This window comes from Homo sapiens, chromosome 4, assembly GCF_000001405.40.
Source record: "Homo sapiens chromosome 4, GRCh38.p14 Primary Assembly".
NCBI classification, from domain to species: domain Eukaryota; kingdom Metazoa; phylum Chordata; class Mammalia; order Primates; family Hominidae; genus Homo; species Homo sapiens.
The window spans coordinates 61,916,207-61,934,028 of NC_000004.12; the positions used below are offsets into that span (position 1 = coordinate 61,916,207).

Below are 17,822 nucleotides of genomic sequence, written 5' to 3' on the forward strand. Positions count from 1 at the left end.
TTATGTTTGCATCCCAAGAGTTTTAACAACAAAAAAAATTAAGTTTAATATACATATTTTAATTTTAATTGTAATTTTAGATTTGTGTTGAGAATCACAAGATATAAATTGATATGTGTCATAGTAAAACATATTACTTCCATATCTTAGACACAATGACATGGGCCTACATAGCCCCAGCTACTTGAGAAGCCAAGGTAGAAGGATTTTTTGAGCCCAGGAGTTCGAATATAGCCTGGGGAGCATAGTGAAAACCATGTCTCTTAAAAAAAAAATAGAGAGTTTTAAGTTTTATACTAGAGAAAACAAGTAAGGCTTGTGTTACACATGCATATCCTTATAGATGAAGATGAGATAGTGTACTGGCCCAAGGCCACACAAGTAGCACTGATGGTACCATTGCTTCTCTCCTGACATGTGTCCTATGCTGCTTCAACACCATGACTAAGAATAACAGTGATTTGTTATTAAGAATAAATTAATTTCCTGTAAACCCAGCACTTTGGAAGGCCAAGGTGGGCAGATCACTTGAGACCAGGAGTTTGAGACCAGCCTGGCCAACATGGTGAAACCTTGTCTTCACTAAAAATACAAAAATTAGCTGGGCATGGTGGTACATGCCTGTAATCCCAGCTACTCAGAAGGCTGAGGCAGGAGAATTGCTTAAACCCGGGAGGTGGAGGTTGCAGTGAGCTGAGATCGCACCACTGCACTCCAGCCTGGGCGACAGAGTGAGACTCCATCTCCAAAAAAAAATAAAAATAAAAATAAATTTATTTATTAGGCATTAATTATGTGCCATTATTGTGCAGAGCAATTAGAATACATTCTTATTTAATATTCACAAACACCGTATGATATAATTATTGCGATTTTTAACTTAACAGATGAAAAAATGGAGACCCAGGGAAGGTTAAATGACTTTCACAAGATCACACAATAATAATTGAAGGTGCTTTAAATTCAAAGCTAAGTCTTTCTAATTCAGAGGCGTGTCCTCCTAATCTCTGAGATACTGTTACTTGCAGGACTGACCTCATCTTTTGGTGATAGGAGGCAAGACATATCATTAGGTTTATGTTTGTTGATTTTTTGCACTGTATTTCAGGGATGGAATGCAGTACAACAATTTTTTTCAATCTCTTTTTTGAGACAGAGGTAAAATGGTATGTGATAATTATTTTGTGCTGCCATATTAAGGTCATATCCAAATATAATTTGCTTTGAGGTCTTTTTACTTTCAGAGGAGACTCTGATGAAAAAGTTACCATCTTAAGAGAATAAAAAACCAGCAGAAAGATATAGTAACTATGTTAAAGGAGGAACTGTCTGTTTTCCAGAGACAGTACTATTTTCCACCAGCAATATATGAGGATTCCAGTTGCTCCACAACCTCACCAACACATGTGATTTTCTGTCTTTCTTATTATAGCCATGCTAGTATTTGTGAATTGCAGAAGTTCTTGACTCTAGTCATGGGATGGGGGGCAAGAAAGCAGGAAATGAATTACCGAGGTGATATTTGAGCAAAACTCAGAAGGAGATAAAAGGAGTCAACTATGCTGATATGCAGGAGCGAGCATTTTAGCAGAGAGAACAGAAAGTTCCTGAAATGGAAATATTCCTGTTGGTGATGAAGGAGGCTAGTGCAACAGGAACAGAGTGAAAAAGAGGATCACAGGGTGTGAGCCTGTGGTAGTTCAAGGCCCAGATTCTGATAGATCATTGTAAGGACTTCAGCTTTTATTCAGAAAAGCCTAGTAAACAAACCACTGCAGGTTTCTGAGGAGGGCTAACTCTCTGATGCGTGTTACAAGTGGACAGTAGCCAACAGCAAGAAAAGTAAGGGCCGAAGCTGGGTTACCATTTGGGTAATGACAGCCACTTGGATTAGCATATTAGTGCGGGATACTGAGGTAATTATTCGGATTCAGAGGTTTTTAAAAAAATGAAATAAGATTTGCTAAGAGATTGTATAGAGTTTTCAGAGAAAAAGAGGAGTTGAAATGACAGAATGCTTTTTGCCTGAGCAATTGGAAGGATGAAGTCGTGGTTTGTTGAGATGGTCTATTTGCAACCAATTTGGGAGGGGCAGAAAGAGAACTCCACTATGGCTCATGCTAAGTTTGAGATTCTTATTAGACATGCAATATAGAAGTTAAATATGTCATTAAATATACAAGCATGGTGTTCAATTGTGAGATTAGCCTAGAAATAATTATTTGGTAGTGTTTTACTTAGAGTGGCATTTGAAATCAATGTTCTAGATGAATTCATCAAGGGGATGAGTGTAAAGAGAGAAAAGAAAAGAATCTAGAACTGAGCCCCAGGACACTGTAATATGAAGAGGTTGGGGAAATGCAGAGAAGCCAGCAATAGAGACTAAAAAACAGGCTTAAGGAATGAGGAGCACCAGGAGAGCATGGTATCCTGGAAATCAACTGAAGTTATTGCAGAGAGGATGAAATGATGTGAAGCACTGCTGAATCTGCTCAGAAATGCTGATACAGCTTTTCAAAGATAAAAGTAATGTCAACTTTTGATAATTAAAAAGATTCCAAAGCCCACATGTCTACATTATTACATGCAATATCTAAACATTTTTGCCCATTCTTTTCAACTTTTTTGTATTAATGCACACTTTCTGTGAACCAAAATTGCTATTGCACCTTTGACAAAGTGCAAATTGAATTATGCCAGTTTTACTTGCGTGCCTTTGGTGCATAAGACAAGAAGGATTCTAAGCTCCATTTATACTGCTAGGAAGAAATTAATGAGTATTTTCAAGTTCCTTGTTTGGTCACTTAATTGGCTATGTGACAAAGAGCTCTGTGGTGCATGTCAAACAACTTTCAGAGTCCTCTAATGATTTGTGCGTTGCTTGACTTGTGATACTATTCTGTGTGGCCTGTCAGGCTGGATGTCCTTGTTAAAGTGGCTAGAATAAATTGGCTAGCAGTGTGCATACAATGTAGTATATTAACTGCAGCAACAGGGAGTACTTTTAGCAGCTCTTTCAAGAGATTTCGATGTTTGCCCATAAGCATCAAAGCCAACCCAAACTTTCATTTAATATAATTAAAAGGACATCTGAAAGTAGTTTGAATCACAGCAGGTTCTTGTGGTTTGGTAACCCTTTGTTAAAACCCTGTGAACTTAATATATTTCACAGCTTGATAAATCTGCACTTGATTTATGTCAGTAAGAGAGAAAATATAAATCTGCACCCTGCATGTTTCTGGTGCCCTAAACCTATTGTTAAAAGACATTGAGATCAAAGAAAGTGACTTCTATCTACAAAACCAGAGTACTGTAGTTTTTTTCAGATAAAGAATGGTTATAAGAATTCCTTTCTATAAGTTGTAGACATTAAACGCTACTACATACAAAGCAATCATTGAATCAGAAGAGTAAAATCATATGTAATGTAAGCAGAGTAATTCATACAGGTATTATTGAAGAATGTGAACAGGTCAAGTTGTAAATCTAATGATTTAAAAACTTCCAAAGGACAATGACAGATGTTGATCATGGAGATTCTGCATTGACGTGGAAAGAACATCATTCTGGGAATCTCTCACAATTCCCCTGGCGAATGTGTCAGGTTAGATAGAAATGGCTGCTTTAGAAAGCCATTTCTGCCTCCTCCATTTTGCACATTTCCTGTAAATAAACAAATGTTCCAGCTGCTGTTTGTATATACATGGTTTGTGAATGCCTCAGAAAGTAATTCTAATGAGGGTATGGGAAAAGTGTCTTTCTGTTTTTAAATAAAATGTTTTCATCTAAAACAAAAATATTTTCTCTCTTCTTTGCACCAACTTGTATTCTCTTCTCTTATTTAATTTTCTGATCAAAGCCTGGGCCATTATGTAATTGTAAAACTGTTTACTTAAAGCCCATTCTATGCATCAGTGCTTTCTGAACATAAGTTTACCTTCAGAAAAGTTTTAAATACATAGAATATAAATAGATATTATTTCTATGCAAATGCAAGAGAATACACATCAATTTACTTTTCTATTTCTTTAATAGCTTGATGATTACATAGCTATTAAGGTAATTATATTAAGGTAATTAATTAAGGTAAAGGATATTAAAAACAGCATTACAGATTTAAGATCCTGCTTTCTGAAACTATCATTAACTTTTTTGGTACAGGTCAGAAAAGCAATGGAAATTTTAAAGTGCAATTTACAGTAAAGTAGTTGTCTGAGAGCGTGGATCCAAACAAATGATTTTTCAGGACTGCTCCCAGAGTTACAATTTTTATGTTTTCCTTTATCTAATATACGAATCTTGTATAGCTGGTAGTAACAGAAAGTTAGCTATGGTAGCTTAAACAAACCAGGGCTTTATTCTTGCACATGAAAAATGCAGATGAGGCAGTCCAAGATTAGCTTGGAAACTGCATGAAATCATCAGAGACCAAGGCTGCATCTGGTTTTTTGCTCCATTATCTTTAGCACATGGGTTTCCATCCCCAAGATGACAAGATGGCTACTTAGGTTCCAATCATCATGTCATGCTAATCTTCTAAAAGGAAGAAGGAAAAGGATAAGTATCAGAAGGATTTGTCCCTTTTAGTACTTTCCAGGAGTCTCTCCAAACTATTCCTTATTATATCTTAAGGGCTACCCTATTTGCATGGTTAAATACTTCATTAGTAGGTGCAGCTTTGCAGCTGGGCATAGTGTCCAACGATTCTGTGTCTAACACAAGAGGGATATTGGGCAACTAGCAGCCTCAGATGCAACGAAAATGCTTTTTCTTTTTCTTATTTAATAACACAGTGAAATCTTATTCAGTTTTACTGTAATAAACTACCATAGATTTATGACAATACAAGGGTAACTTTTGAACCCTAGATATAGATAAAAATGTTCTTCTGCTTGTTCTGTTAGTCATAGTTTGAGATTAATCATTTTGTCTAAAAAAAACTTTTAAAAGCTATTTGAAACTTCTCAGATTGCATTTTTCTACCTTTTAAGTAATTTTTTGAATAGCTAATATAGACACATGGTATAAAATTCAAAAGATAGAATAATAGCTATTTCTCCCTCCCACTAGAACCTCTGCATTGCTAACTCCAGGGCACGCCACTGACATTTTTGTCTATTTCAGTGGTGCTCCCTTGCGGTTGCGTAGTTCAACCCTGCCTCTCATTTCTCTCCACAGACTTTCAGCAGTCCTTTTCCAAAGCGTGATCACTGTTAGCTTTTTTGTTGTTGTTGAGTTGGAGTCTTGCTGCCAACAGGCTGGAGTACAGTGGCGTGATCTCGGCTCACTGCAACCTCTGCCTCCCGGGTTCAAGCGCTTCTCTCCCAAGTAGCTGGGATTACAGGCATGCGCCACCATGCCCAGCTAATTTTTGTATTTTTAGTACAGACAGGGTTTCACTATGTTGGCCAGGATGGCCTCCATCTCCTGACCTCGTGATTCATCTGCCTCGGCCTCCCAAAGTGCTGGGATTACAGGTGTGAGCCACCATGCCCGGCCTGTTAGCTTTTTAAATATCTTACCAGAGAAGACTATTTTTACTCATATCTATATTTTTATACTGTTTCTTTATAAATCTTGTCATACAATCACAAAACAGTGTTGTTCTCCTTGCTTAGAGAAAAGACTTTGGGGATAACTTGTGGCCGACCCACACAATAGGGTAGCATTCTGCCATGGAAAAGAGTAAATGTGTAGACAGGATCACAAGCTAGATTTGGGTAGTGTTTGTATCAGCAGAACAACTTACCTCTTCATCAGTAGGAAATCGGTTGAATAAACTACTAAACTAAATAATGGAATACTTCCTAGCCACAGAAACAGTGAGGTAGAACTTGTATTGACTTAGAAAGATAGATGTGATATATTTTCAAGTAAAAATAAACAAGCAAGCCAAAAACAACAGATAACAGCCTTATTGTCCGGACTGAGTTTGCTCTTATCAATGTGTAAATATTTACAGGTCTAGAGAGACCCACAATAAACTGTCTAAAGTGATTCTTTTTGTATGGAGTTTTACAGTGTTGTTCTATAAATGGAATTTCAGCTTTTACCATATATACTTCTGTAATTTAAAACTGTTTATAAATATGTCTTTTTAAAACTAATAGATATTATTTTTTGAAACAGTTTTAGATTTGTAGAAAAATTGATCAAGTCTTATAGAAAGTTCCCATATACCTCCCATTGACATGAACAGCTTCCTCTATTGTTAACATCTTACATTAGTATGGTATATTTATAATAATTAATGAACCAATGTTAATATATTATCATTAACTGAAGTCCACAGTTTACTCAGATTTTTAAATTTATTATCTATGTCCTTTTCTGTTTTAGGATCCTATCCAGGATATCATATTACATTTAATTAGCTCTGCTAGGCTGTGGCAGTTTTTCAGACTTTCCAACAAGTATGTCCTTTTCAAAGTCTGAAAAATACATTTTTTATTAAAAAATAGTAAACACATATACTTTAAGAAAAGCGTAGATTTATTCATTCATTCAATCAGGCAGTATTTGTTGAGCTCATTCAGACACTGTTTCAGGTGCAGGGATTCACGGGTGAACACAGAGTTTCTGTCTCGTAGGGCTCAAACCCTAGTTCAGCCTGGAGTTATGGAGGAAAATAGCCAGTAAATCAGTCAATCAATCAAAGTAATAAAATAAGATTGCAGAAATGCTATTCAAAGAATTAAAACACAGTCATATGAGTAAATATGACCCATATGAGTAAATATGACCTTTTGATTACTTCACTTCGTGCGGATCAGGGAAGACTTTCTAAGGAAGTGATAGGCAATTCAGCAATGTGACTACCTGGAGAAGAGCATTCCAAGATCAAAGGTCACCCAAGGCCAAGATGGTCAAGTGACAAGTGGTTGGAGAGTTCAGGGAATAGAAAGAAGACAAATATGCCTGAAGCAGTGGGTTGAGGGAGAAGGCTATGGAAAAAACTCAAGAGTCTGAGTGCTATTAAAATCCTTTGACCAGGGTCATGACATATTTTTTGCAAAACGACTTTGGCTACAAACTTTGTTTTCCTCTGATACTGATTCTTATAACTTCAGCTATTATCCTTGTGTAGATGATTTAAAAAAGAAAATTAACTGCTTTACACATTGCCAAATTCTTCTGTTAATCCATTCCACCTACTGTCTGAGTAATGTTTTAAAAATGCAAATCTGATCCTGACTTAACCCTACTCAGCCTGTCCCTTACTCTCTTTTGCCCTTATAGAAAAAAATCCCTTTTTGAACTACAGTGCTTGAGTATCAGACTCCTGTTGCTAATTTCTCACACCTTTAACTGGCTCCTCCTCGGATCCTACACTGCCAGGAGATGTAAATACTTTCAGTGCGTGTCTCTGTACCTTTATAGTCACAGTTCCTTCTACTTGGATTAATTCTAGATTTGTTCTCCTTTCTCCTTCTCTTCATTCCAGTAACTTTGACATATGAAGTCAACACCCACTTCGTATGTCAATTACTCTAAAGAAGCATTCTTTGTCCCACTTAGTCTGAATAAATGACCTCTTATGTGAACTTATAACACTCTCAGTTTTCCTCTATTACAGCAATTATCAAGCTGTATTTTAATGTCTCTTCACTCCTCTATCACTAAGCTGCTTGCGAAGGAACAGTGCCACTTTTATTTCTACATCTTCAGGACCTTTTAAATTGTGCTTAGCACACATTAAGTGGTCTCCAAATATTTACTGTTTAATTGAAGCTCCAGGCTCCAATTTCCAATTGCCTACTAGTATGTCCACTGCAGCAGAAATTCTGACAACACTTTTCAACATTTGCCGTTGTCAACCCCTCTCCTCTCATTCTCCCTTAAATTCACCTCCTGAGGCTTGTGTCCCCACTACACCACCGAAACTGCCCTTTTTGAGGTCATTAATGACTTCTAAATGCTGCTAAACCAATGGTCGGTAGTCAATGCATACCTTACTTGATCAATTAGAAACATCTAACACAGCTGATCACCCCCTCTTCCTTGATATATTCTCTTCAGGACAACTCACTTGATTTTTCTCCTACCTAATTGACACTTCTTTCCAGTCTCCTTCATTGGTTCCTCCTCTTCTCCTCAAACCCTTAAGCTTGGAGTGCCCCCTAGCACAATAGTTAGTCCTCTTGTCCACACTTTATACATTCACACCCTTGGTGATCTCATTGATTTAAATACCACCTATATGTCTATGACCTACAAATATTATCAATGGCACAAACCATTCTCCTGAACTCCAGAATTAATTTTCCAGCCAATTTCTCAATATCTTCACTTTGTTGTTTAATAAACACCTCAAACTTTCCATATCTGTAACTGAATTCCCAGTCTTCACTTGCAAACCATTCTTCAGCATCTCAGTTAAAGTGGTTGAGCCCCACCTCCCACCTCTACTGTTTCCTTTCACTTTACTCCAAACACATGCCGTTTTAAGGTTTTGGACCATGCAAACCTTCAAAAGTTCCATTTGAAGACTTTTATTCTGGCTGTTCCCTCTGATTGGAATGCTTCTCTTCCAGATGCCTGCATGGCTTACTCAATTCCTTTGTCTTTTTTTGAATTGTTACCTTTTCAGTGATGCCCATCTGTACCATTCTATTTGAAAGCCATCCCTGATTCTAAATCCTCCATCCTGTCTATTTTCTTTCATTTCACACTGTACATTTTACCTTCTAACACTATATGGTTTATTATTTGCTTCCCTTGCCAGAATGTTCAGTTCTAAGATCATTTTTTCTCTGCTTTGTTAAGATATATCTCAAGATTCTAGAACAGTGTTGGCAATATGTTAAGTGCTCAAGAAATATTAATTAAATGAATAAATGTCCCGCTTTGAAGTAATGATATACAATTGTACTGATTGCCCCTCAAAAGCAGTATCTCTGTGGTTTTCTTTTTCGTTTTACAATCACTCTGTTACCCAGAACAAAAATAGAGTTATTATTTCTAGTTCCTGAAGAAGAATTTTTGGATACTTTCACGATTATTTTTGAAACTAAGGAAAACCCTCTTTCCATCTGTGATACTGCACTCTCTGACTGCTTACTCTTTCATCTTCATTGTCAACTATTCTTACTTCATTTGCCCCTCTATTTTGTTAGTGTTTCTGTACCATCAATTCTTCTTCCTCTACTCAGTTTTTCTGGGTAATTTCAGACATACCAATGGCTTTAATAAGCCTACTTAAATTTATGATGCGTGCATTGTATTAGGCTGTTTTTGTGCTGCTGTAAAGGAATACCTGAGCCTGGGTAATTTATAAAGAAAAGAGGTTTAATTTGCTCATGATTCTGCAGGCTCTACAAGCATGGCACTGGCATCTGCTTAGCTTCTGGGGTGGGCTCTGAGAGATTCTACTCATGGAAGAAGGCAAAGCAGGAGCCGCCATATCACATTGCAAAAGCAGGAGCAAGAGAGAGAGAGTGGGGTAGGTGTCACACACTTTTAAACAACCAGATCTCGCAAGAACTCACTCACTATAGTGAGGACAATACCAAACCATGACGGCTCTGCCCCCATGACCCAAACACCTCCCACCAGGCCCCACCTCCAACACTGAGGATTACAATTCAACATGAGATTCAGAAGGAAAAATATCCAAACTATCTCATGAACTATATGTGAATATCAGATATCTTATATAAGCTTCAGGCCATCTGAATTGATGCCATACAATTATAGTCATGCATTACCAGTGAGGATACATTCCGAGAAATGCTTCATTTTGTTGTCATGCAAACATCATAGGGTATACTTACGAAAACCTAAATGGGACAGCATGTTACACACCTAGGCTACATGGTATAGCCTACTGCCCCTTAGGCAACAGACCTGTACAGCATGTTACTGTACTGAGTACTGTAGACAATTATAACACAATGGTATTTGTGTATCTAAACATAGAAAAGATACAGTAAAAATATGATATAAAAGATCAAAGCTAGTACACCTGTATAGAGCAGCTCCATTTTAATTTTATGGGACCAGCATGGTATACATGGTCCATTATTGAGCAACCCATCATTATTCAGTGCACGACTGTATATTGCATTCAAAGTAGGCAACCTGAATTTACTATGTTACTCATACTGTCCACCCACACATATACTTTTATACCCACTACCTTTACCTTTTGAAAAACAAAGTTCCCATTTGAAGTGAGTGCTATCTCCTTGACTATCCCAAATTCTATGCGTTGCACCTCTTTCTTTTCCTCATCAACTGGCGTTAACTAATCAGCAAATCATTTTAAATATCTTTGGAATAATCTCTGCTTTTCTTTTTCTCCAGAACCAGAATTCATGGATTTGAGTCCTGGTTCTACTCTATGTTAGCTAATTAGCCTTTAGCAAGTTACTTAACTTCCCTGAGTCTCAATATTCTCACTGTAAGATGAAGATAATAATAAATTCTACCTCACTGGGTTATTGTGAAAATTAAAGGAGTTAATGCATGTAAAGCATTCATATCAAGGTCTGGAATACACTCCACAAATATTAACCGTTACTGTATATTGCTCTATTACCTTACATGTTTTTTCAGTGACTATTTGTCGTCTTTAGGAAGAATTGTAAATACCTTAACATAGTTTGCAACCTCTTTGAAATCTATCCTTCACTTACCAATCTTGCCACTGAACCCCTTATACTCTCTGCTCTACCATAAGGAATTTGTTTTCAGTTTCTTTGCAGTGCCTATTCTCTTTCACCTCTGTGCCTGTAAGTACACTCTGTGCCCTTTGCCTCTTTGTTCAGCGTTGAGTTTCATCTTGGAATTCTCCTACTTCATGGAGCTTTTCCAATACAGAGCTTGAACCCTATGTTTCCATCATTATAATGCTTGCCATGTTGGATTTTAATTACTTGTTTAATTGCCTGGCCTCACTATATTGCCATTACCTTGAGGGAAGGGAGAACATCTGTCTTTCTTGCTGCATCCCAGTTGACTGCCACATTGAAGATGCTCAGTTAATATTTGTTGAATGAATATTAGGTTAGCAAGGAGTTTAAGTCAGGTCTGTAGATCCATTTAATTCCTGTAACATGATAGAGATTTATTTGACAGCATTTGGTCATTTCATTCTAAAGTAGAATTAAAAAGTGATACGATCAAATACAGTTTGCAAAAAGACAATGCTTTTTTTTAAAAAAAAAAATAAGAGGTCTCTTAAAGACACAGTCTGTTCTATGAAATTTTAGTTTCACCTTGTTTTACTCTTAAAGGTCCCTATTACTATATTAAGGTCACTTGTGTTATATGATTTAATTTTAATTAAGACTTGAAAATGCCAGCACTTCACTGTAATATAAAAGGTAGTTCAGAGATTAGTAGTTTTATATACTTAATAATATTAAATGACAGTGGTTATAAAAAGTACCTTAGGTTTATTGATCAGATGTATAAATATCAGTCACTCAACTTGACTTGTAATAAAAAACCTGCAAGTTATAAACTGTTTTGAAGACACTTCTAACACTTGACCTTTACATTTTGATTTGAATCAATATCTAAACGCATATTGCAGTACAATGTGTCCTATTCAGTAATGATTTTAAACTTTTGCTTCATTTTACTTTATTTTCAACTGATAAACCTTATATCAAGAAATCAAAGAATTAAAGAAAATTTTGTTTTTATTATTTCAAATTATAAATCAATGGATACTATTTTCATCTGTCTATCTATCTATCTATCTACAGTGTATACATTCAGAAAGCAATAAATGGGAGCAGAGACCTGAAAACTTATTTTTCTTCCTTAATATATCCTGATATTTAGATGTGAAGAAAAATGTTTAAATGTAACTGTATATATAATATAATAAAAATAATAATATAAAATAGCATTATTCAGCGTGATTATGGCATATATTGCTAAGGAAATAATGCATTCAGGAAAACATATTTAAAAAGTGGAAGTAGAGTAAAATATAATTTATATTACTAGGCCGTTTTTCAAAAGAGTTTAAGCAATTCATTAGTATAAATGTATCTATTACTATGAAATAATTGTTCCCAGCTTTCAAATGGGCTGCCTAATACCAATTTGCTTTTTTTATTTTACCATCATCAACTTGCTCATTATGTACTTTAGCTTTGGATTTCCTCTTCGGAGTCAAAGAAAATGTATTCATCCTTTAGCGTCTAACTCAAAAATAAACATTTTCTGGGATGTTTTTATGGTCCTCCTCAGCAAGAGTCTATTACTTTTGTACTGTATGCTGTGGGTTTCTAGATCTGTTTTGTGCTGGAGCATAGGTAAATTGAAGAAAAACTCTTATGTTTTTCTTCTCTAACCTCATTCAACAGTGCCTTACCTAGGTCTTTACACATAATACGTATCTAATGAAATCTTGTTAAATTACATTGGAAATTACCTTTGGAAACATTATGGAAAACTTTTTATAAGATAAATATGCATTTCTTATTCATAGTGTCCTGTATGCACTACAATAACCTGTGGTTCAGATTTTCTTCTTCTGAACTCTGTCATCTTAACTTCGTCTCATTCACCCTGCCTCCCTCCCAAATCATGGTGATATCTGAACACGTTATTCTCTCAGAAGTCTTTGGGGAGACAGGGCAAAAATTAAAGAAATAAAAAAGGATGCTTTCAGTTTTCCTATTGTATATAATGGCATTAATAATTTGATAATAAAAGTAACTTACCTTTGTGTGATAAATATTAATGAATACCCAAATGGTATCACGGCACTAAAATTTACTCCGAGAAAACACAAATGAATATGATGTCTTCTCTAAGGACATGATAGTCTGGTGAGAAAATCAGAACAAATATAGATAATTCTGTTAAAGATAAATAAATACTGAAATGGGAGCTTTCTGTGGTCTGACTGCTTGTGTCTCCCCATAATTCATGTGTTGAAACTTACTCCCCGGTATAGTGGTGTTGGGAGGTGGGGCTTCTGGTGGGGTGATTAGGCCAAGAGAACAAAGCCTTCATGAATGAATGGTACTAGTGCCCTTACAAAGGAGGCCCGAGATAATTTGTTTCTCCCTTGTACCATGTGAGGATGCAGAGTGAAACCTCACCAGACAATGAATCTGCAGGTACCTTGATCTTGAGCTTCTCAGCTTCCAGAACTGTGAGCAATAAATTTCTGTGGTTTATAAAATTGTCCAGTCTAAGGTATTTTGTTCTAGCAGCCCAAATGGACTAAGAGCCCACTGGGGTATTGATTCTCTGAAGTGAGACTAATTCAAGAAAGTATTGGCTAGTTAATAAGTTTTATCATTTCTAGTTATTCTTTGCTCTTATACTCATCAAACTAATAACTTCAGAGATTTTTATTTTAGCTGATATGAAAATGGAGAAAACTGACTTACATATGAGTTATCCTGCATGGCAAATCCCTCAGCCAAGAGTTAGGGAACACTGCTTTTGGCTCTTGTAAATGAGACAGCATCTCCTCCTTCATAAAGCTTGCCGTCTGTCCAATGGGAGGTTTAAGATAGTTGTGCAGGGAAACAAATATGAGACATCTTTAGATAATGACGTATGACACAAAGAAAACAAAACAGGTAATAGGTTTAAGGATGGGGGGATTCCCCTCCCCGCCCCCCAGTTGTGCTAATAATGGAAGACCTCTTGGAGCAGATGATATTTGAGATAAAACCTGAATGAGCTAGTGACTTAAAAACTTGTCTGCAAGGTCAGACACAGTGGCTCACGCCTGTAATCTCAGCATTTTGGGAGGTCCGAGGCAGGCGGATCATGAGGTCAGGAGATTGAGACCATCCTGGCTAACACGGTGAAACCCTGTCTGTACTAAAAAATACAAAAAATTAGCCGGGTGTGGTGACGGGCGCCTGTAGTCCCAGCTACTCGGGAGGTTGAGGCAGGAGAATGGCATGAACCTGGGAGGTGGAGCTTGCAGTGAGCAGAGATCGTGCCACTGCACTCCAGGCTGGGCGACAGAGCAAGACTCTGTCTCAAAAAAAAAAAAAAAAAATGCCATGGTGGTAAAGTTATACATCTTTCCATAAGGCATTCCTTCTATTGGGGTATTTATTTTTACGTTTTTCAAATGGAGGAAGGGGGGTAACTAGGTTCCCCCAGATGATTCTGCTTACTTTCGTAGTTTGATATTTACTGCTTACCTGGATAAGAAGTGCCACTCATGTGTTTCTCATCATTCATTATTTTGTGTATTCTTCCTGAGAAATCTTAAGCTATTTCACAAATACATCCTCTTGGAATAATGACAAAAGTTGTCATTGCAAAAATATGTAGCAGTTTTTCCCAAAGGTTTTTGCAGTAGTTATAACAAATAAACTCTGTATTTTGAAATATAGAAAGTGTAATTATAAAGTATATAACATCTTAACGAACATATCAGAGTTATATGCTATGAGTAATATTCGTCAACTGAATTTGCCTAAGGTCTGAATTTAATGATAAGAGTCCTAATAATGTCGCATTAAAAAATAATGCAAATGTGTATCTAGTAGGATATGGTATGTCCATAATCTTGGTGTGAATCAAAATGACTTTTGGCTCTTTCCCATTTATATTCGATTTTTAGAAACAGTCAAAAGTCACTGAGAGTTTAGTGAGTATACTGTACAATGAAAAGGATAATACTCACCCGTACCTACCCTCAAATTGAAATATAATGAGTCTTATGTTGAGCTTATGAAAATAATGCAAATAACTAGTTGGAGAAAAAAAATTATTTTGTGACCAGATGTCATAGTGTGTGAATAAAATATACAATACATAAATGTATAAGGAAATCCAAATATAGGTATTCATTGAGGAGTTGTAGCTATTTAATTAACCTTCATTTAGCTAGTAAAGGGACATGTCAGCAAGCTTCAGAAAGTTTAAATCATTTATGATTATAAAGCTTCTAAGATGGACTTAATTGTGCTGTCTCACTAGCAGAAAAGGGGTCACATTATTTAAGTCTCTAAAAAACTCATTATGAACTATTTAATACACATGTTGCCTTTACTCTCCAATTCCTCAAAGCTCCAGGTAGTATAGGCTTCTGTAGTTGTGTAAGAGACCAAATTATGAAGATTGCATTACCGAAGATTTATTCCTTCCAGATTTCAATTCAGTGTGGCTATTTAGCAATTATCAGACATGAAATGTGCTTTCTAAGTGAAGACGTCCCTTCTTCCTACACTGTACTGTGATATCAAGCAAAAGTAAAAACAAGGTTGCAACTTGAGCACTTGTTATGAGCCAGAAAACTTTCTGAGATGATTATATTATCATACCACATTTGTAGATGAAGTATAGAGAAGTTAAGTAACTTGCCCAATGTCACACAGTAAGAGGCACTGTGCAGGTACAATTCGGGGATGTGGTTCCAAATCCCACACTCTGATTTTACAGAATACTGTCTCTCTATCCTTGTGTAAACATTTCCTTGCAGTTATACTTAAGCAACTGTGAACAGGTGCGTTTTTGAGCAGATTAAATAAATGTTAAATTGGTGTCATAACTCACCAAATTCTAGGTTTGGGGGCCACATTTTGAGTGTGTTGCTTTTTAGTAAATTTGGCAATTGTTTGGGCTTTAGTAGAAAGCTTCCCTAAAGACTGCCTTATCTTGAAGAATACACTTGTTGAAAACTTATAACTATGAAAAAATATTGCACCTTGTAGTTTTTTAGTTGCAAAACTAAGATAAATTAATAAATGGTGCCTTTGATTTATTTGCCATCAGTTCAAAGACATACAAAGTTTTTTAGATAAAGCAGTCTGTTGTAAACAGGTTCCTGAATCTGTTCATTAGTTTATATATATATATATTTACACACGTACACACACATATACATTCATATATATATACACATACACATACATACAGTCTTTTATGTATATATATATTTAATGGAGTCTTTCAGGTTTTCTGTATATAAGATCATGTCATCTGCAGACAGGGACAATTTTACTTTTTCATTTCAGTTTGGATGCCTATTATTATTATTACCTAATTGCTCTGGCTAAGGACTTCAAATACTATGTTGAATAGTGGCAAGAGTGGGCACCTTTGCCTTGTTTTTGATCTTAGAGGGAAAGCTTTCAGGTTTTCGTTGTGGAGTATGATGTTATCTAAGAGCTTTTATACATGGCCTTTATCATGTTGAAGTAACTTCCTTCTGTTCCTAGTTTGTTGAGCTTTTATCATGAAAGGTGCTGACTTTTGTCAAACACTTTTTATGCATCTATTAAGACAATCATGTGATATCCTTTATTCTGTTAATGTGGTGTATCACATTTGTTGATTTTTGTATGTTGAACTCTCCCTGTATCCAGGGATAAATTGCACTTGATCATGGTTTATAATTTTTTTCTTAAATGCTGTTGGATTTAGTTTGCTAGCATTTTGTTGAGAATTTTTGCATCTGTATTCATCAGGATATGGCCTGCAGTTTTCTCGTGGTGTCTAAGTCTGGCTTTGGTGTCAAAGTAATGCTAGCCTCATAAAAAGGTGTTTGGAAGTGTCCCCTCCTCTTATATTCTTTTGGAGTTTGAGAAGGACTGGTGTTAATTCTTCTTTAAGTGTAGAAAAATTGAGTAGAATTCACCAGTGAAGCTATCTGATCCTGAGCTTTTCTTTGTTGGGAGGCTCTGATTACTGACTCAATCTCCGTATTAGTTGTAGGTCTATTCAGAATTTCTATTTTTTCCTGATTTAGTCTTGGAACATGTTCTTTCTTAGAACATTCTCGGAGTTGACCATAGTTGTTTCTTTTTCCTTTTTTCTCATCTTGTATTTTTTTTAAATTATGAAAATAAAAACAACGAAGGACAGAACAGAAATATATTATCCCCAATAAAATTTCCCCTTAGGTAAGATTTTAATTAATTATTATAAGATTATTAACTAACTATTAAGATTATCAGCAGCTAAAATGGCTGCTCCATAAGGAACAGACATAATTTCTGTTGCATGTGGGATTTTCAGAGCATTTTTAATGAATTCACAGTATCATCTAATCCCTGAAGGAATACTTCTTTACACTGAAGAGGTCCAAGTTCTCTGTTTGGCTTCAGAAAATATCTAAAGTTTTTTTATTTTTATTTTTATTTTTTTGGTTTCCTATCTGGCACCTCTTTTTTTGGCATATCCTGTTGGCATTGCCCTTATAGAGAACTTCCAGGAAAGCGGATCATTTTGTTGTGATCCAGAAGTACTTTTGTCTGGCTACTAGGTCACGCTTTACACCAAGAACAAATGACGGAGCTAAGCACACTATATGAAAACGTCCAGTGTTTAAACTCGTGAGAGACTTTTTCGATTTGTTTGTGTTGTTTCTCTTTTAAAAAATAATCCAAAGCATGCAAGTTGTGAGTAGGATTATTTTACTTAAAAGTACAGTGATGTTGATTTTTGGCCAAAACTTGGAATAGCTGGGAAAATATCAAGAAAAAAACAACTTGTATCAAAAGGCAAATTAGTTTTTGAAGCTGGTGTTAATTGGCAGCCAAGGTGTTTCATTATGAAGCTGCATTTTTAACAGTTGTTACTTGGTTACTATGAAAACACCAGCCAGGAGAAAACACTGCATTGTGGAGGGTATTTCTCTAGTCTCTCCCAGCCCCTCGGCCAATGTGTCAATAATGTGAGTCCTGTTTTAAAACACTTATGTGCTGCCTGTTAACTGTGCCTGTGTTGGCTGTTTATTCAACTTTATTTCTGGATTAGATGCATATTTCATAATGAATTGGGTTCAGGGATGATCACTTTCAAGCTGCAGGTATTGTATTTTTCTGTTTTGCAATTCTCTATGTTTGAATGAAACCCAAGACCTTACTGGAAGAACTGTT

General features: G+C 36.0%; 1 protein-coding gene across 59 annotated transcripts in view; it reads left to right on the plus strand.

Moving 5' to 3' along the window:
• Positions 1–17,822, plus strand: part of ADGRL3 (adhesion G protein-coupled receptor L3) — an 878,010-nt gene that overhangs the window by 715,881 nt on the left and 144,307 nt on the right. The window lies entirely within an intron of this gene.